This window comes from Homo sapiens, chromosome 10 (assembly GCF_000001405.40).
Source record: "Homo sapiens chromosome 10, GRCh38.p14 Primary Assembly".
Lineage (NCBI taxonomy): Eukaryota > Metazoa > Chordata > Mammalia > Primates > Hominidae > Homo > Homo sapiens.
This window is the reverse complement of record NC_000010.11, coordinates 2,485,157-2,506,002: the sequence shown is the minus strand read 5'-3', so window position 1 is coordinate 2,506,002 and position 20,846 is coordinate 2,485,157. Positions and strand designations below refer to the sequence as shown.

The following is a 20,846-nucleotide window of genomic DNA, read 5'->3' as shown; positions in this document are numbered from 1 at the left end:
AGATTCTTACTTAATGGCCTGGGAGGAGCAATGATGACACGGTGTGGTTTTCATGGATGTCACAAATAGAAAAATTACTTCTCAGCTCTCCTATCAGTCAATTTTTTGGTTCTTTGTTTAGCATAAAATGAAAGGCCCACTGTTGGGGATGATGTGGTCCATTTAGAATATTTTTAGTATAATAAAGGGAAAATGTAGCTGCTTTTGGTAGTGAGTTATTTGTGATCTCTTCTCCTTAGTTCCCCTCTAGATATGAAATAAAATTAGAGTAATGGACATAATTAACTCTGAGTCTCATCTCAGAAGGATAATTTATTACCAGGTTAAAACCCCTTGAACCAGAACTCTAAGTGATTTGTGGTGATTATTACACAACACTTCCACAATTTTGCTGACCTAGTTTTCTTTTTAAAAAAGAAGGAGAGAAACTAAATTATGGAACAAAAATGAGCCTTACCTATTTCACTGATTGAACTGGTTTTGTCAGCCTATTTTTTTTAAAGCACCTTAAAATCATTGCATTCTTAACTCATCGGCTATGTCAAGGTAACTAAGATTTTAGTACCACTGGTCTTTGAGATGGTGTTCAGAATGCCATGACAAAGTAGGTCAACCAGTTGTATTATCTGCTCCACCAGGCCCCTGGTTCTGCAGTGCAACCTGAACCTTTTCTCAAGGAGGCTGTACTCAGGTCAAGAGATGAAAAGCCAGAAAACAAATTTAGAAATGATATGAAATTCAGAACAAAATGTCCACACCTTATAACACCTATAATAATAAAATTAAATTAAATTAAAATTATGATCGACCTATTAGTTTTCAAAGCATAGTGCTCAATATCCAAGCAAGGCTAAGGTGAGAACGCCTTAATAGCACGACAGCAAGTTGGGGTAACCAGATTGATTTCTGAGAAATTCAGTAACAGCATATTTTTAAATGGCAATATGGAACCAAGAATAAGGTCAATCCAAACCACATATGGAGAGAAATGGACAGACAGCTGGCATGAGTTCTATGCACCGTGAGTTCAATAAAAATGTGCACTATGAGGAGACTGTGGAAAAGCCTTATGAAGGCAGCATTCTAGCGTCATGGTTTATTTCTGTGCCTTGAAGCAGCCTGGAATGTGTTATAGGAAAAGTGGGGCTGGGCCCAAGATTTCAGTCTTCTGCGGGACCTCGTCCATTTACAATCGAGGACTGTCTTTTACTATTCTGTGTGTGCTGCTCCTGCCAATTTCTGTTCACGTCAGGGACAGGTGAGGGTACTCATTCTAATTTCCGTGATTGGAATTGTTTGTATTCTGTGTCAATTACTATTTGGAGAACTCTAGAATTAAAAGCTGCAAATTGAAGTCCCTCTTCCCCCTTTAACATAATTGACTCTAATTATATAACTAATTTGAATTTTATTGCAAAAGTTTTCAGTGTAACTATTCAGAAGAGAATGATTATCAGCAAAGACAGAGAGGGAGAATGATAATAAAAATTCATCAGGGCGTCTTTAAGAATATTTTTTTCAAGCTCCTTTTCTGCAAAAATAGGAAATAATTTAGCTAATCTAGCTTCTATTTCTTGCTCTTCACAGGATGTTAATGCTCTAACAGGAGTTGGAAGGGAAATAAGAGAACTGGATTTGCCGCATTCCTAAATGTGATTGTATTTCTATTTCTTCTCAGCTTTGCCCTATTTCAGAGGTGAAGACAATTCTTTGCTTAAATTACTTTCCGTTCAGATCAATAGCAAACTGATAAGCAGGTGCCCGAGAGGCCCTGGATAGAGGAATGACTGCTGACAAATCAGGATCTCCAGCTTAATGACCTGCTGGGTTAAATATACGGAGAATCTGATCTATTCTGGCATATGGGATCTTTAACACCAAAGTGAAAGCTTTACTTTGAACCACACGGGGAGCACACAGCCACGGAATATACCAATAAACCATTTGCATAATTATTTTGCTCAAACCTTTTGCAGGCAGAACCCTGCAGCCTCAGCGGCGTCCTCTTCTTGGATATGTGCGAGGGATGTGCTTCCCAGACAGGTGGTGCTTGAGGGCAGAGCGCTAATGTCCATGTCTCACCTGTGTACTGTTCAGTGTTCAGAGGGTCTACTGTTCAGAGGGTCCACCTGTGTACTGTTCAGAGGGTCCACTTGTGTACTGTTCAGAGGGTCTACTGTTTAAGGGTCCATCTGCGTGCTGTTCAGAGGGTCTGCCAACCTGTTTCCAGGGTGTGTCCTGTTCAGAGGTCTACTTTTCAGAGGGTCTGCCTGTGTCCTGTTCAGAGGGTCTGCCAACCTATCGCCAAGGTGTGTCCTGTTCAGAGGGTCTGCCAACCTGTCCCCAGGGTGTGTCCTGGTCAGAGGGTCTGCCAACCTGTCCCCAGGGTGTGTCCTGGTCAGAGGGTCTGCCAACCTGTCCCCAGGCTGTGTCCTGTTCAGAGTGTCTGCCAACCTGCCCCCAGGGAATCTTGCCTAGTGTTTTGCAATCCTCATGCTGAAAATGAATAACGAGCCCTTTTCTGTGCTTGCAGTGGAGTTATAGATTATTTTCTATATCCCTTAGCAGTGAATGCCTGAGCTACCATTCCTCTAAGGAATTGGTTTAATGCACACTACCAAAATGTGTTTTCCCATCCCTTGTATGATAGCTATTGTGTTATTTTCAACTGAAATACGTATTTTGCCTAAAATAAAGAATTGCTTTATTCTTATCTTATAAGCTCTGACATTTTCACTAGGAAAAGTTTTTTTTTTTTTTTTTTACTTAGTAATCTAATCTTTTCTTATCCCTGACATAGTCACGGAGAAATACGTAACCCATATTTATTTCTCAGATCATCCATATAAATATTCTGGGCAAATAAATATTTTGCGGCATGCATCAAGAAACATTTTCCCAGGCATATTTGGTTTTTATTTGTTTTCCCAAATGTATAAAAATATTTTAATGAAGTGATTCTAATCACCTTCATATAACCACTGACATACAGACCTTCAGATAGCATTTACCTATTGTTTATTTAGATATTTGTTTTCCAATGCTTTTTTAACAGGGTTTTATGTGTCTTGCTTATAGGTGACAACGACAGAAAACCAGGTCTAGCAAGCAGTTTATCATGATTGAGATCTTTTGTAGTTGAAAAAAAAACTAATAAAAAACAAAAAATTAGGAAGGCATTTTAGGTATCATGAAATTTTGAAACCCATCATTCTATCTTCACCTCTAAAGATTTTGTTGGTAGTTAGGCAAATTATATATGCGCGTGTTTATACATACACACACATCAGGCAAATGCATTAGTCTGACAGTATTCTTAAGCTTGTCTTTCTTTTTCTTCTTTTTGGCATTGAAAACCCAAGTTTCTCTAAAATTATTGAAGCAGGGTCTCTGAGTAAGGATCCTTTCCAAAATATATACTCATTTAAAAAAATTTCATTCTGTTTACATTAATAAAAGGCAAAAGTTTCAATTACTGAAAATATTTGAAAATTACCATTCTGAGGCAAGACCACTGTTTTTCTTTTAATACATAGGGTATGGTTAAGCAGAAAGAGCCCACGAAGCATTCAGCCCTCACCAAAACCCTTTGCACAACGTGGAAAGGGTCCAACCAGGACACTTGATTTCTAGTCGCAGATTCTTAGATTCCTTATTAGTAAAATACATATAATATTTTTTATTTTTCAGAAACATTGGCCAATTGAGGGTGGTGAAATACTATGTCATACCACATAGAAGGTGCTTCGTAATGGGCACTTCTTTTTCATTATTACTTCACCACTGATTAAGGACCACACGTATATAAGCCTTTCTCAGGACGTAACACAGGCAACACGGAAAGAGCTGGCTTGCGAGCTCCCTGCTTAACAGAAGGCTCAGTTGCCCAAGTGACGAAGGCATTGTGGGGCACGAACCAGGCTTTGGTGAATTTATCTCATTATACACCAGGAGTTATAATTTAAAAACCAGTGTCATATAAAGAAGAAAAAAGATATGGTGAGATACAATACCATTAACACTTCTTCAGAAACGGATTTTAAAGCAGAACTTCCATGACTGTGAAATCCAACCGGGTGCGCGACCACGAGGAAGGATGGCGAGGGAGGAAACCGCGCTTTGTTGTTGAGGTGAGCCGGGTGCGCGACCATAAGGAAGGATGGCGAGGGAGGAAACCGCGCTTTGTTCTTGAGGTGAGCCGGGTGCGCGACCACGAGGAAGGATGGCGAGGGAGGAAACCGCGCTTTGTTGGTGAGGTGAACCGCGTGCACGATCCCGAGGAAGTATTGCCAGGGAGGAAACCGCGCTTTGTTCTTGAGGTGAGCCGGGTGCGCGACCATGAGGAAGGATGGCGAGGGAGGAAACCGCGCTTTGTTGGTGAGGTGAAACGGGTGCACGATCCCGAGGAAGTATTGCCAGGGAGGAAACCGCGCTTTGCTGGTGAGGTGAGCTGGGTGCGCGATCACGAGGAAGGATCGCGAGGGAGGAAACCGCGCTTTGTTGGTGAGGTGAAACGGGTGCGCGACCATGAGGAAGTCTGGCGAGGGAGGAAACCGCGCTTTGTTGGTGACGTGAACCGCGTGCACGATCCCGAGGAAGAAGGGCGAGGGAGGAAACCGCGCTTTGTTGGTGAGGTGAACCGGGTGCGCGACCATGAGGAAGGATGGCGAGGGAGGAAACCGCGCTTTGTTGGTGACGTGAGCTTCACATTCAGCGACCCGTTAGAATTCGTTCTGATGAGCAGGATTCTTTCACAGCGTTACATGAAGAGTGGGGCGATTGTACTTTGTGTTTCCTTTAGTTCTAGAGAAGAGTGATTTTTTTTGTATTTGAAATAAGTAAAGATTATATTACGTTGAAATGAGCATAATGCAGAAAAGAAGGCACTGAATTTATACTTAAATCATGGTCTGGGGCCTAAAATGCTTGCTCAAATAACGTAGCTCCAGTGCGTTTGAGGGTGTATACGTTTGAGAGAGAGTGTGTGTGTGTTTGAGCCTGTGTGTTTTAGTGTGTGTGAGAGAGTGTTTGTGTTTGAGCCTGTGTATTTTACTGTGTGTTTGTGTGTGTGTGTGGGAGCCTGTGTGTTTTAGTGTGTGAGTGTGTTTGAGCTTGGGTGGGTATGTATATTTGGGCGTGTGTTTGAGCCTGTGTGTTTGAGTGTGCGTGTGTTTGAGCAGGTGTGTGTTTGTGTGTGTGTTTGTGCAGGTGTGTGTCTGAGCCTGTGTGTTTATTGTGTGTGTTTGAGCATGTGTGTGTTTGAGTGTGTGTGTTTGAGCGTGTGTGTGTTTGAGCAAATGTGTGTCTGAGCCTGTGTGTTTGTGTGTGTAAGCCTGTGTGCGTCTGAACGTGTGTACACTGGAGGTGGTTCCCTGAGTTTACGATCCCTCATTGGCTTATACTGTTAAACAGACAAGCAGCTACAGATTTTGTTTGTTCTTACCTTTCGTATTTATTCCAGGCAACTGTGTCTAGTTTTCCCTTTGTTGTTGGTTACCTTTGCTGGACTCTGCTGTGACACACCAGACGTGCTAGCTGAGGAAGTGGGGTCAGAAGCAATATTCCTGAACTTTGGGGTCACCTCTCACCCACTGTTCTTCCCGGTGCTACCATAGCGTTTGCTCCACAAACCCTGAAGTCACTGATGGACATCACGCATTCCACTTTCAAGGATTCCTATAAGCTTATGAAGAAGGACAAGGCAATATCACGGAATGTTGAAATACATATAGGTGATCTGACAAAATAGGGTCCTTTACAAGTTACCTTAGAGAAGGGAAAAATGTACAAGAGCATGTCACACATTTTTTTGGCTTAGCTCAGTCTGCAGAAAAATTTAAATTTCCTTTCCTATGACTTTTGTTCTAATCTATCCTTAGAGGAGAAATACACCTGAAAGCCAAGGGAAAGACCGCGGGTGTTGGAATCCACGTGACTTCCACGGTATTGAACGGAGCTGCCGGGCTAAGAACTTCCATTTCTTTTCTCAGGGAACTCCCATCTTATTTAAGGCACAGAATAAGGAGTTCCATTAACTTTAGACAGGTTGTTTTAAATCAAAAATTAAGAAAAAATGATTGAAAACAAAGCCCTAAACTGGAACACATGAATTTTAAAATATATTTAAATTGTGACCATTGTGTTTAAACTGTGGTAGGGCTTGATTTTCCAAATCTCAGAATAAAATTTCTTACCGAATTCCTTATGATGTCCTAAAAATAACCCATTAAAATCACATGTAGATCTGGTTGACCCTGGCATTGGTCTGTGAGTTTTTGAATTCAGAGTCAGAAAACCTGGGTTTGAGTCTTAGCTGTAAGGTTACTGACTATGCAAGCTTGGTTAATGCGTTTAACCCTCTGTTCATCTTTTTCGTCAACTGTGGATGAGGGATTACTACAGCAATTGAGTCACAATCTGATAAGATGTGTGAAGAGACTATGCGAGTGTCACGTGCTCTGCCCATCTCTCTTTCTTTTGCCCTGGACTGGTCCTTAGCCAGATGCTTGAATACATGTTAGATTTATTGGCTTGCTTTTCCATTGCCCCCCGTCCTTCCCATAAACAAGTATAATGCTGCCATTGCTACTCATCCCTGCACCTTGCACAAATCTCTCTCTACCCTTGCAATGTGGATTTCAGTACCAATGACAGTGAGTGGAATTTCTCAGGTTGTTTATCTTTCCTGTACTTCTTGATTGTTGCACTACATTAATTAGAAAATAGAGGGCGAAATGATGGTCCTGGACCTGGTATCACAGGCTTAGGTTGAAACAACAGAACAAACACTACTGTGAAGTCATCGAGTCCAAGCTCTTGTATTTAGGTAGGAGAATATTGACTCTATCATTAAGTCAGAGTTATTAAGTTAAATTGAATTAAAACCTTGTAAAATTCTTTAGGAACTCACTGCCTTCCTTTATCGGTGTTTTCACTATTTTCTGACTCAGGAGAAATATAAGTGAGTGACCATGGTCCCTGCTCATTTACAAACTTACAGAATTTTTTTTAAAGCACCAGGATGCAATAAAATCAATGTTTTGTGTACTGCTTAATTGTAACATCTAAATGAACATTTAATGTACTGTGTTCTCCTACTTATTAATCAAATCAGTATAGATTAGGTTATTTGTGTTTTTTGCAGTTAATGAAAATGTCAAAAGAACCTTCAAACGTGAATGAAAATCCTTCCACTTCCTGTGCTGTGGAGAATTCCACTTACCGCTCTGAAACCAGTGATTCTCAGAAGACCCTCTTTTATTCCTCTGACCTTTCAGATAGCCGGTGGCTGCCCTTTTAATTTATACTTTTCCAAGATACTGTTATTATTCTCCTTATTTTTTTTCTTACCAACTTCTGTCATTCCTGTTCGGTAAAGTGCCCTTGTGTGATTTAATGTCTGGCAGTGGCCTGTGGAAACCTTTCGAGTCAAACTATCATCTTTTCTTCCTTGGCAATCTCCTATTCTTCAGGTTTTAAGCAATGACTAGTTTTTACATTTTCAGCACCTTATATATTTAATAGTGGATTAAAAATCCTGATGTGACTTTTGCTTTTGTCATCATGCATCTGTGGTTAATGGGCCTAATTTGTTTCGTATTGCAGTAATCTTTATAAGGAGGTTAGAAAAATTGTGCGGAGAAAACAATTGTAAAACAATGAAGCAGGAAGCCCTCTCCCCACATCTTTCACAGTGTGAAAATGCTAAGAAATGTTAGAAGCAAATTAGCCCTTAAATTGTCTCCTCATCCAGTCCCTCCTACTATGTTATGGAGAGAGGACACATTTCCAGGACAAAAATGCTTCCGCTGAGGACTGTTTCTATACAAAAACTCACCACCTTCCACGCAGTGTCTTGTCTTATCACTTCTGAACAGACCTTGGTGTTTGAAAGCGTTTAGAAATTTGCTTAACTCGCCATTTCCTGACATAATGAGGAAATCAATGTGTCTTGCCTTTCAAAATGCGTGTGAGTTCAGAATAATTCAACAAGAGTATGCGATGATAAGCAGAAATGAGACTGCAAGAATGTGCTCATCAACTCAGAATCAGTGATAACTGACAGATAAAACAATGTTAATTGACTAAGGGAGACCCTACAACATTCTGTATCTAGAGGAACAAACTTTGGCATTTTGTTAAAGGTTGATTTGGCAATTTTGAGTGATATTCTAGGAAACACAGGTCTGCTTTGATGCCACTAAGACTTTGAGTAGGGACACCAATGACTTTCAGATAAACATATACCCCTTTCCCTGTTTCCATCATCTTCTACTTATTCGAATAGTTTAAGGAGGCAAGCTGTCTGCTGATAGGGTGCAAAAGAACAGACCTCTGTGACCTTCCAGGAACCTTAAATCATCTCTCTGCAGCAGGGAACCAAGGGGTCGGTGAGTGGAATTAACGCCAGGTGTGTGCTCGTGGCTCAGAGCCACTTCCCTTTGGGGCGAGTATATTCTCAGCATCCAAAAGAGTTCCCACCCTGGGCTGTTCTATGGATGAAAATCCATCTTGGATTTTCTAATCCTCAAAAACTTGTTTCAATGCACATATTTAAGATGAAATAAACACGATTGAAAAAATCAAATCCATTCCTTACTTTTAAAAACTTACTGGCCGGGTGTGGTGGCTCATGCCCGTAATTCTAGCACATTGGGAGGCCGAGGCGGGTGGATCACCTGAGGTCAAGGGATCGAGACCAGCCTGGCCAACATGGAGAAACCCCGTCTCTACTAAAAACACACACACAAAAAAATAGCTGGGCGTGGTGGCGCACGCCTGTAGTCCCAGCTACTTGGGAGGCTTAGGCAGGAGAACTGCTTGAGCCCAGGAGGCGGAGGTTGCAGTGAGCCGAGATGGTGCCACTGCACTCCAGCCTGGCGACAGAGCAAGACTCCATCTCAAAAAAAGAAAAAAAAAGTAATTGATATGTTTTCTCAGCCCCCGACCCCTGCACAATTCTCCTGTCAGCTTCCAGCCTTTCTCCAGGTCTCTCACACCTGCCACCTCTAAGCCCACAACTCCAACACAGCCTTCCTAAATACACTTCCTAATGTAGGACAGTCTTACATTTACCAAAAAGGTGAAAGGACAGAGAGTTTCCGTGAATCTCACATTCAGCTGTTTCTACTGTGAGTATCCTTCTTTGGTATAGCACATTTCTTACAATTACTGAATAGTGTTGTGTTCTACAAAGATGAATACATTGTTATTTATTATTAACAAAATATCTATGGTAGTCAGATTTTCTGAGTTATAGCTTCATCTTCCCTCTCTCTTCCACATTATAGTTAATCATCTTGGCTCTCTAGCATCCTCTTGGCTGTGGCAGTGTGTGTGTGTGTGTGTGTGTGTGTATATATATATATATATATATATATATATATATATACACACACACACACATTCTACAAAACACCTGACCAATGCTCCTAAAACTATTAAGGTCATGGAAGACAAGAAAAGTAAAAAAAAATCTAATATATATTATATATTATAATCTAGTCTAATATATATAACCCAATATATATTTGTTTTACTTTTTTTGTCTTCCATGACCTTAACAGTTTTGAGGAGGGTTGGTCAGGTGTTTTGTAGAATGTCCCCTCAGCTGGGAGTGTTCTGATGTTTTTAGACTAAGGTTAGATGTTTTGGGGAAGAATAGAGTCCAACATATTCATTAGTCTGACTGGTGTTGAGTTCTAGTTCTTGAATACTGTAGTCCCAAAGAATAATCTCCTAGTCCCAGAATTTTCGGGTACAGAAGCCAATAGATGGTCACCACATAAAAGGAAAGCCGCAGCCGGGCACACTGGCTACACCTCAAATCTCCGCACTTTGGGAGGCCAAGGTGGGTGGATCACCTGAGGTCAGGAGTTTGAGACCAGCCTGGCCAACATGGTGAAACCCCATCTCTACTAAAAGTACAAAAATCAGCCGGGCGTGGTGGTGGGCGCCTGTAATCCCAGCTACTAGGGAGGCTGAAACAGGAGAATTGCTTGAACTCGGGAGGCGGAGGTTGCAGTGAACCCAAATCGTGCCACTGCACTCCAGCCTGGGCAACAAGAGCAAAACTCCATCTCAAAAAAAAAAAAAAAGGAAAGCTGCATCTCAGCACATCCCACACTGACACTGAGGTGGGCAAAGGCCTGACAGAGGCATCCCAGTCAGACGCCCCCAGGCTTCCTACTCCTGGGTTCACGTTCTGTGTAGTCCCCTCTGCTGTGTGCAGCCTGAGGTTGTGAATATCATGGAATGTCACTGTCGTGAGTAGGCTACTACTCAGTTCATCAAAAGGGAGATTGTCCTGGTCTCACCAACCTCATCGGTGAGTCTCTGGATGGGACTGCACCCTTCCTGAAAAAGGAATTGGAAACAAGAGGGGTCACACGGAGGAGCCCATGTGGCATGGAGCTGGGTGTCCTCTGAGAGCTGACATGGGACCGTTGCTGAGCCAGCGAGAGGGCAGTGGCCTCGGCCCCACAGATGAAAGGCAGTGATTCTGCCGACAACCAGCTGAACGTGAATGCGACCACCTAGCTCCAGAAAGAAACAGGCTGGCTGACACCTTGACTGCAGCCAGGGGAGACAAGAGCACAGGGCCCAGCTCGATCATGGACAGAACTGTGGGAAAGTATATTGCATGTAGCCTAAGCTTCTACAATGGTGGTAATTGGTTACACAGCAATAGAAAACAAACACAGACATACAGAGGCATCCCAGTCACACTCCCCATTTAGAGGAAGCTCCACAGGAAAACTGAAGCAGGGAATTGGATACACACCATCTGTGTCCTTTTTCACAAGGTGGGGGTTTAACTGGCTAGATTTGAATCCAAGAAAGTAATAAAAAATGGGTGGGCTCGGGTTTGGTTCAGAAAAACGTCTGTCTTTGCTTCGTTTCCATGTATTTAAAAAATACGTGGGGTTTTGTCTACCCTATGTTGATGTTTTTGAGGCCAGAAATTATTGTCTTTCTTGGTAGTATAATAAAATGGAAGGAAAGCTTTCATTCAGATTTCAGTTTGGAGACCAGGTCAGCTGAACTTTGGGTCAGAGTTGCAGTTTGGCTCAGTTTCCTTGGGTATATTCAATTCCTCAACAGCAAAATTCATTAAAATTCCTAAAAAAATGGATTATCTTTTCCGTATCTGCGAAGTATCATGAGGGTTGTTTGGCTTTAAGGTGAGAGAAATGTGAGGAAAGCAGACGCCCTTCCTCTGAGTCACCTGGTAAAGGGGCCCCCACAGATCTGTGAAGAGAACATGGAAGCCACCGTCTTCAGCTCCCATCCCTGGCCACTGTCACAAAATAAGCCCGCTAAAGGGTGTAAGCGAAGGCATCCAGGGGAAGGCGTGGGGGAAGGGTAAATGAATATCAGCCTTCCTGGAGGGCACTGGATGGACCTCATGGAAGTCAGAACTGCACTGAGTCATCGGTAAAAAGATTGATGACTTCTTTAATGCAGTCACATGCTTGCCAAAGACTCAGAAAATTAAAGTTACTCATCCAGCACTTTGCTGATAAAGTAGTAATTTTATAATTTTAATTCACTGGGTAAGTTTTTCACTCAATGTTACTTCAGAAAGGTCATTTATATGATACCAAAGAAAAGTGTACTTTGCAAAAACCCTCTCAAAATAGAAGCATTTTTTACCGGAAGTGTCAGGGGTCATTTGAAAATGCACTCAGTAAATATACAAACATTTTGACAAAGAAAATACTTTTGCATTTTTTTTTGTGTAGATGTAACCTCTGTGGGCATTTCCAAGCTTGTAATTAGAAAGATTTGTCACAACATAAATTGCAGGATCTAACTATGGGTACTTCCATACTTAATTGTGACCTTATACATGTCCTGTTACTTATTCTAGGAAGTAAAAATAGAACATATATTCCAAAAATAACAAATAACAGGCAAAATTGCAGATACACTCTTGAAATCACTCAACTGTGAAAATGGTTGACAAGCCAATGAATATAGTTTAGAGACCCAAGAAACCAATTATAATAATTTTTCAGTAGCTTTTTGAACTATTTAGTATCTGTGAGCAACAAAACACAGCATATATCAATGAGAAAATTGAAATGTTTCTGCTTTAACACTTTAGTTGTTTGTATTTCTCACATTAAAACTGGAGGCAGAAATGCTTGTTTCTGACTTACATACAATTTTCAGTTTCCACAGTTATTGTAATAATCTCATATGAAAAGAAAAATATAGCATATAAGAACATTTATATTTTCATTAACAATATTATCAATATGAATAGACAGAGTCCTGTCTGTCTGATTGATTCAATGTGCCAATCTTCACCTCAAGAATAAGAACATAAACATTGCTGGTCCCCCTTTTTGGCTTGGGTGGTCTAAGACCTCCCTGAGACACACTGTGACACTTGGCATGGTTTTGACAAATTAGTTCATGGAAGAAACACCTTTCATGGAAAGTAAACAAGTGACAGCTAATGATAAATTTCTTTGGAGGTTTACACACACACACACACACACACACACACACACACACACGTACTTATGGAAAATAATTGCACCGTGGGTATGTTTGTCTTTCTAAGGTTACATCTATTTCCTGCTGCATGGTATCACACAGGAATTATTAACAGCAAGAGTTAACATTAGCCAGATATAAAAGCAACTGCCAGTCAGGGTGTCCATGGGCTGCCTCTGCCGTCCTCAATCTCACTGCCTCTGTCTTCACATGAGCCACTGGCACACGGGCAGACAGTGCACCCGGGGGACTCTCTTCCCTAACGCTGTCCCTAATGCTGTAGCAAGGAGGCCATGGAAAACTACCCTGTCAATACCAATGGAGTGATCTCCATACCCACACCTAGATCCAGAGCCGATCAACATCATCAGTGAGGATATTTCAATACCTTTAAGAACATGGGATGGCAACCAGGTCATTTCTTCATTTGTTCAACTTATGATTGTAGCATAGCTAGTACATTCTGAGCACTGCATAAGACATGGTTTTACATTTGAGTAAGAAAAAGCTCTTGCTGCACAGAACTTACTGACTCCCTGATCTCAGAGAAAACCTGACCTTGATTACAAAACAGGGTCTTTCTTTTTTTAATCTTTTGAAAAGTTCTCTACCCAGAAAAGTCCACTTTGCACTCATGGTAAATCTAATCCTTATGGGATTCCTCTATTATTTTTATAATCTGTCTGGTGCTTTTTCATTTTCCCTCTTGGTACTGCAAATATAGGAATCCTTAAGCATTCTAACTACATAGAAAATAAGGTTAAAAATAAAGGACCTCTTCAAGGAGAACTACAAACCACTGCTCAATGAAATAAAAGAGGATACAAACAAATGGAAGAACATTCCATGCTCATGGGTAGGAAGAATCAATATCGTGAAAATGGCCATACTGCCCAAGGTAATTTATAGATTCAATGCCATCCCCATCAAACTACCAATGACTTTCTTCACAGAATTGGAAAAAACTACTTTAAAGTTCATATGGAACCAAAAAAGAGCCCGCATCGCCAAGTCAATCCTAAGCCAAAAGAACAAAGCCGGAGGCATCACGCTACCTGACTTCAAACTATACTACAACGCTACAGTAACCAAAACAGCATACTACTGGTACCAAAACAGAGATATAGATCAATGGAACAGAACAGAGCCCTCAGAAATAATGCCACATATCTACAACCATCTGATCTCTGACAAACCTGAGAAAAACAAGCAATGGGGAAAGGATTCCCTATTTAATAAATGGTGCTGGGAAAACTGGCTAACCATATGCAGAAAGCTGAAACTGGATCCCTTCCTTACACCTTATACAAAAATTAATTCAAGATGGATTAAAGACTTACATGTTAGATCTAAAACCATAAAAACCCTAGAAGAAAACCTAGGCAATACCATTCAGGACATAGGCATGGGCAAGGACTTCATGTCTAAAACACCAAAAGCAATGGCAACAAAAGCCAAAATTGACAAATGGGATCTAATTAAACTAAAGAGCTTCTGCACAGCAAAAGAAACTACCATCAGAGTGAACAGACAACCTACAGAATGGGAGAAAATTTTCACAACCTACTCATCTGACAAAGGGCTAATATCCAGAATCTACAATGAACTCAAACAAATTTACAAGAAAAAAACAAACAACCCCATGAAAAAGTGGGCAAAGGATATGAACAGACACTTCTCAAAAGAAGACATTCATGCAGCCAAAAAACACATGAAAAAATGCTCATCATCACTGGCCATCAGAGAAATGCAAATCAAAACCACAATGAGATACCATCTCACACCAGTTAGAATGGCAATCATTAAAAAGTCAGGAAACAACAGGTGCTGGAGAGGATGTGGAGAAATAGGAACACTTTTACACTGTTGGTGGGACTGTAAACTAGTTCAACCATTGTGGAAGTCAGTGTGGCGATTCCTCAGGGATCCAGAACTAGAAATACCATTTGACCCAGCCATCCCATTACTGGGCATATACCTAAAGGATTATAAATCATGCAGCTATAAAGACACATGCACACATATGTTTATTGCGGCACTATTCACAATAGCAAAGACTTGGAACCAACCTAAATGTCCAACAACGATAGACTAGATTAAGAAAATGTGGCACATATACACCATGGAATACTATGCAGCCATAAAAAATGAAGAGTTCATGTCCTTTGTAGGGACATGGATGAAACTGGAAACCATCATTCTCAGCAAACTGTCACAAGGACAAAAAACCAAACACCACATGTTCTCACTCATAGATGGGAATTGAACAATGAGAACACATGGACACAGGAAGGGGAACATCACACTCCGGGGACTGCTGTGGGGTGGGGTGGCGGGGGAGGGATAGCATTAGGAGATATACCTAATGCTAAATGAGGAGTTAATGGGTGCAGCACACCAACATGGCACCTGTATACATATGTAACAAACCTGCACATTGTGCACATGTACCCTAAAACTTAAAAGTACAATAATAAAAAAAAAACTAAAACTAAAAATAAAAACACTGCAGTGAGCTATGATTGTGCTACTGCACTCCAGTCTGGACAACAACAGTGGAGTATGTCTCTAAAATAAATAAATACAAACAAAATGTTAGTAATAAAAAAATAAAAAAAAAATTTGTCACGGCGTTATTTTTAAAACTCTTCTGATGATCAAATTGCAAAGATAGCTTGCTTATACGTATAAAAATTCAAAATTAGGTTTCAATACACCTTACATAAAAATCAATTCCAAGTAATTTAAACTATCAAATATGAATGACAAACGTTAAAACTTTTAGAACATAGTATACAAGAACGTTGTTTATCTTAGGAGACTTAACACTGGTTCCTAAACAAGATACAGCACCCTTTCTTTTTGTCTTTGATAAATGACATTTTCTAATTTGATAGTTAAGCATCTCAATCTTGTCTTTATAATTTGTGCAGTTTACTGTCTGAATCTCAGAGGCCCCATGTCCTTTTTCTACATCTGTTTTTTGGGTTGTTTCGTTTTCCAGCTCATGCTTATGCTGCCTTGTTTTCCTGAGTGCGTGTGTGTGTGAGTGTGTGTACATGTGTGTGTTTGTGTATGCATGTGCGTGTGTGTGGGATTCCGTGTGTGAGTGCATGTGTGTATGTGAGTGGATGTGTGACTGTGTGTGCGCATGTGTGGTGGGTGTGAGTGTGTGAGTGCATGTGTATGAAAGTGTGTGTTTGCTTATGGCTATGCTGGTGAGTGGAGAGTATGCGTGTGAGTGCGTGTGTGTGTGAGTGGATGAGTCTGTGTGTGTGTGACAGTGTGTGTGAGTTCATGTGTGTATGTGAGTAGGTGTGTGATTCTGTGTGTGTGTGTTCGAGAGAGAGTTTATATTAAGTCCTTGTTCAATTGTGCTTTATCTTTGGGAACACTGGGATTGTTGGTTGAACCACATTTCTCTCAAGTATTTGCCTTTATGTGTGTGAAGTGCAAACCCAGGATCATTTTAAAACAAGTTCATATTTTGAGGTTTTCTTCATGGCACATTGGCTGTGTGTTTTCAGGTCTCAACTCTGCGTGCGACTGGACAGAGGAAGCCATGAAACATCAGGGCACAGCTGCTGGGGCTTCAGGTCTCCTGCTTCTGTCCACATGCAGACCCTGCGCCATGAGAAGGCGCTGCCCCAGATCCCTGCAGTCCTATCCTGGGGAAGCGTATCCACACGGGGAACCTTCTTGGGGAAACCTCATCTCTGTTCATTTCTTACCCCTGGGGTTTCCTACCTTTTCCCCTCTCATTTATGAACATCTCAGTTAAGTATTTACAACATATCATTTAAAATATATATTCAACCCAGAATTATAATCAGTTTACTGTGTTATTGTGCTTAGGAATTTTTTCCTCCACACTATGAGAAAGACTTTGATCATTATTTTTTCTTGTTTTCCTTTTACAATTATATTTTCCTTCTCTTTGCTTTTTTCTTTTCTTTTTTTTTTTTTTTTTTTTTTTAAGATGGAGTCTCACTCCTGTCGTCCAGGCTGGAGTTCAGTAGTGCAGTCTTGGCTCACTGCAATCTCTGCAGTGACTCTTGTGCCTCAGCCTCCCAAGTAGCTGGGATTACAGGCGCGTGCCACCACACCCGGCTAATTTTTTGTACTTTTAGTAGAGATGGGGTTTCACCATGTTGGCCAGGCTGGTCTCGAACTACTGACCTCAGGTGATTCACCCACCTCAGCCTCCCAAAGTGCTGGGATTACAGGCGCAGGCCACCGTGCCCGGCCCTCCTTCTCTTTGCTTTTAAATTGCCATTTATTCTCTGAGTTCTTTGAAAATTTCATTTTCTGCTTTCTTCACTCTTTGTACGTACAGAAATACAATTCAGAGTTGTTTTAAAAATGCAGTTCAATAAATATTTTCAAGGAGTGTGAGAGATGATGAATGTAGAAATGAGAGTGTGTCTGTTAACAGCAGTGTCATGTTTAGCTCTGCAAAAGAATAACTAAATACGATATGAGCAAACCTTTGTTTTTAATACCAAATTACTGATGTATAGATGGTAAAACTGGAATACATTTCCACAGTCTTTAGTCTGGAATTTTCTCTATTAAAATCTGTATCCATATTATTTGATAATCTACAAATTCATATTTTTTTTTGCAGCAGGAGCATAACTGTTTTCTATAAGGCATCGAGGTTTAAATGCTTGATGACGTAATGTCATGTTATTTGACAATTGTTAAAAAAAAAAAAGGCAGCTGTAAGCAGCTTGTGGTGTGAATGACAGAACAGGAGACTTGCTCAGAGTGTTTATGGCCATGGGGACCCCAGCAGTGAAGGGTGAAAGTGTGGTGGCCAGTGGGGTGTGGTGGCTCTGAACGGCGTCAAAAGGCAGGCATGCTTTGTTGGAAATCAGAGAGCACTGTGGCTAATGTGGCTGCAAATCTCATCTCCGAATTAGACACACAGTTCCTGCTGCTCACTGTGCACCTTCACGGGCAAAGCGGTTTTCTGCGACGTAGTTTGAGAGCATCTACCTTACGAGCTACTCAGGAGCAATACTGAAAATTCAATCATTGAGCAGTTTCATTGTATACATTTGGAGAAACAGCATTTTGGAAGAAAAATTAATTCTTTTCACTCTCAAGTTAAACTTAAGTAAGCTTACCTGGAAGTCTACTATTTGTGTTAGACTTTTGTTCTACACATAGAGACAGAGCTAAATATCTTGTATTGAGGTGAAACAGGAGCATTTGAAATATGGTTTCACGGTAAAAAAACATTCATATTTTTTTCCAGGACTCTGTAGTTATTGTGGTATCTACAGTTAATATGTCATCTGTAGTCTATTATTTACAGTTAATATGTTACCTGTAGGTAATATGTCATCTATGATGTACTAGATAACATAATATGGAAGACGGAGGTAATCATCACAGTCTTGGGATACGAAGCAAAGCCGTGGAATTACTGACATTGGCTAAGAATAGTTTTCTGACTTTCTGATGTTCTAACTCTCCACTTCTCACCACGTGGAAAGCATATGTATTTTTTAAATTGACAATTATCATTTTAATCTCCATGAGGGGTTTAAAACCTTTGCTTGCACTGAATCAGTGTGACTTTAAGCAAAAGTCCATTTATTAAATCTTTTATTAGGCTTTTCATTATGCATGCTTGTAAAGATCTTAATAGAGATGTTAAGTAATGAAATTTTGCAAGTTTCTAAAATCTTCATAAATCTCCATAAATTGACTCTTTATGAGAAACCTGCTTTCATTGTGTCTGATTTTTATTCATATGCAACCAAAATGTTAATATACTTTAATTAGAGTTAATATGATTTATCTCTTCTCTCATTATGTAAGTTAATTTTCTTCTAAAGAAGTCCTGTTTTCAAATTCTCTCCAGCAGAGTCGAATTAAAGTAATTATACTTTGGCTCAGGAAATTAGTCATGAAGTTTCATGAATGCTAAAATAAATTGGAGTTTTCACAGGGTAGATTAGCCATATGCTTTACAGAAGGAAAAAGGAGAGAGGAAATGATTTCTGTTACTCTATTTCCTACTGAGGATGTCATCTCTGGAGGGATGGAAGGTGATTAAGCACAAGTTCTGATATTGCAAAACCCAGGGCAGATAGAATGGTCATTGTTTTTACCGCCTCCCATCGACAAAACCAGCTTAGAATGTACACATTTAGGATCCAGCATGAATCTAGCACTGAGCAACCAACTGGTCTGAACTCAACATCTGTTTCCGTAAAGTTTTTGGCTTCATTTGAGTGATGAGCTATAAAAACGTTCTAAGATTTACCAGAAATATTTTATGATATTATGTCTATTGTTGCAAGTATGGAATTTAAGATGGTTTTTCCCTAAGTTTTCAAACGATGCCATTTCACCTTATCCTCCTTCCTATTCCACCTTTGCAATATTACAAAACTATGTTCCCCAAGTAGCTTTCTTTCATTGTCATCATAAAAATCAAAATTAAATTTACAGTGATATTACTGTGTGCCTCTCTCTCACACATAAAAGAAATTTGTACTAAAACACCTTATAGGCTCTAAAATTTGTCCACAAATAATGGATTTCTTTGGTTCTAAAATTAAGAATCAGTATATATATATTTTAATTGGACAACACTTTAATAGAAATATCCCTTGTTATTTAAAAAAAAGAAAAAGTATTTCTGGAAAGGACTTCTATTGTGGATACCGTTTCTATCCTGGGCACACAAAGACTGTGGGCAAACAGAAAGCATTCATAGAAAAATAAACTGATAACAACATAAAGAAAGTAGAAATCCTGAGAAACAGAGAGCAAAATTCACTTCAATACTATACTGCTAATAGTATCGTATCATAGGGAAGGCTATTTCCAGTATTTTCTTCATGTATATTAATTTGTGTGTAATTTTTAATTCCTGTATATAGATGATGATTTTAAATGACTTAATTATTTGTTATGCTTCCTACATAAATCATAGTCCCTTACAGCTTTCTGATGTGTAATCAGTGAAAAAATCGTGCTGTGAGATCGTCCCCTTGGTCTTTCCCATGGACTGTTTATTGTCTCTTGTGATAGAGAATTAAGCATATCTAGTATTAGGGATTGCTGTGTTCGTGAGCAGGTATTTGTGGGAGCTTCTTTTGGCTGAATGATGGATGCTTCTCATACATTGTGAATACTTAATGATTGATGATAAACTGAGTATTTCACATCATGCTATTTATCATGCAGATTTCCTTATTAATATTTCTTAATCTACAAATTCATGGATGAGAAATTCTGCCTAGTGCTAATCATGCCCCGTGATAGAATAAGTTATTAAACATCTCTAGAATGTAGCATGTTAAGTATATTCAGAAACACGCCGTTCATTTTCATCTCTGAGATTTCAACATTTGCCCCTGTTTTTTAGAACATTAATACCAAGAAGGTCATAAAACATTGTGCTAAAGATAGTGGGTTCTGGAGTCTGCATTAGGTTTGCGGTTTGGTTAACTACCTGCTGGCTTTGCAGCTGAGAGTATGTTACATCCAAATTGTATTTTTCATCTACCAAGTGGATATAATAATATCTATGTTGCAAGATTGCTCTGAGCATTGTAGATAAAGTGCCTGCTCTAGTGCCTTGGACAGGGCAGGATCTCAGGATGGTGAATGCGTTCTCATTCACTCTTTCATTAACGACGTAGGCAACATAACATGGTGATTCTGCTGTGGGTTTTCCAGTGAGAAGATCTCAATTCAAGTCCAGTTTCTGCCTCTTGACATCCATGGAAAGCACTCAGCAGCTTTGTCCTAGAAACATGGTGCAGGCCAAGAAGGTGAGCCAGAGATTTAACTTCAGGCTTTCTAGTAGCCACATGAAAACATGAAAAAAAATGGGTAAAGTGAATTTTATCAATTTTTTAAAATTTTCACATGATGTATACATCATAATTTAAAAATGTAACCCATATAAAATATAATAAACTGTTTTCCATTCTTTTCTTCATAGTCTTTAAAACCCAGGGTGGGTTAGGCACTTTCAGCACACTTTAACTTAGAGTTGGCTGCATTTCAGGGCTCAAACGCCACGTGTTGCTCCTGGCTACTGTGTTGAAGAGTGTAGACTTCCAAAAACACCTGGCATCTAGCAAATTTTTTTCTGAATATTATATTTCAGAATACGTTCGTATATAATAAATACTATAGTATCTACTTATAAAACCAAAGATGTTCATGACCAGCCTGGCCAGCATGGTGAAACCCTGTCTCTACTGAAAATACAAAAAATTAGCTGGGTGTGGTGGTGGGCAACTGTAATCCCAGCTACTCAGGAGGCTGAGGCACGAGAATCGCTTGAACCCAGGAGGCAGACGCTG

General features: G+C 40.0%; 1 protein-coding gene and 2 long non-coding RNA genes across 8 annotated transcripts in view; 2 read left to right on the top strand and 1 right to left on the bottom strand.

Annotated features, from left to right (window-relative positions):
* Window positions 1–4,150, bottom strand: part of LOC105376350 (uncharacterized) — a 116,889-nt gene extending 112,739 nt beyond the window's left edge. For all 6 annotated transcript variants that reach the window (NR_188171.1, NR_188172.1, NR_188173.1 and 3 more), the window contains exon 1: window positions 4,014–4,150. This is a non-coding gene — a long non-coding RNA (uncharacterized LOC105376350). The remainder of the gene's footprint in view (window positions 1–4,013) is intronic.
* LOC107983989 (uncharacterized) lies at window positions 3,834–8,238 on the top strand. Its single transcript, XM_011519770.3, has 2 exons — window positions 3,834–4,445; window positions 7,145–8,238. Exons 1-2 carry the CDS (start codon window positions 4,056–4,058, stop codon window positions 7,298–7,300), a joined length of 546 nt encoding a protein of 181 aa, XP_011518072.1. The 5' UTR covers window positions 3,834–4,055; the 3' UTR covers window positions 7,301–8,238.
* The window catches only part of LINC02645 (long intergenic non-protein coding RNA 2645), a 55,210-nt gene continuing 38,904 nt past the window's right edge, over window positions 4,541–20,846 (top strand). The window contains exon 1 of the long non-coding RNA NR_136146.1: window positions 4,541–4,629. This is a non-coding gene — a long non-coding RNA (long intergenic non-protein coding RNA 2645). The remainder of the gene's footprint in view (window positions 4,630–20,846) is intronic.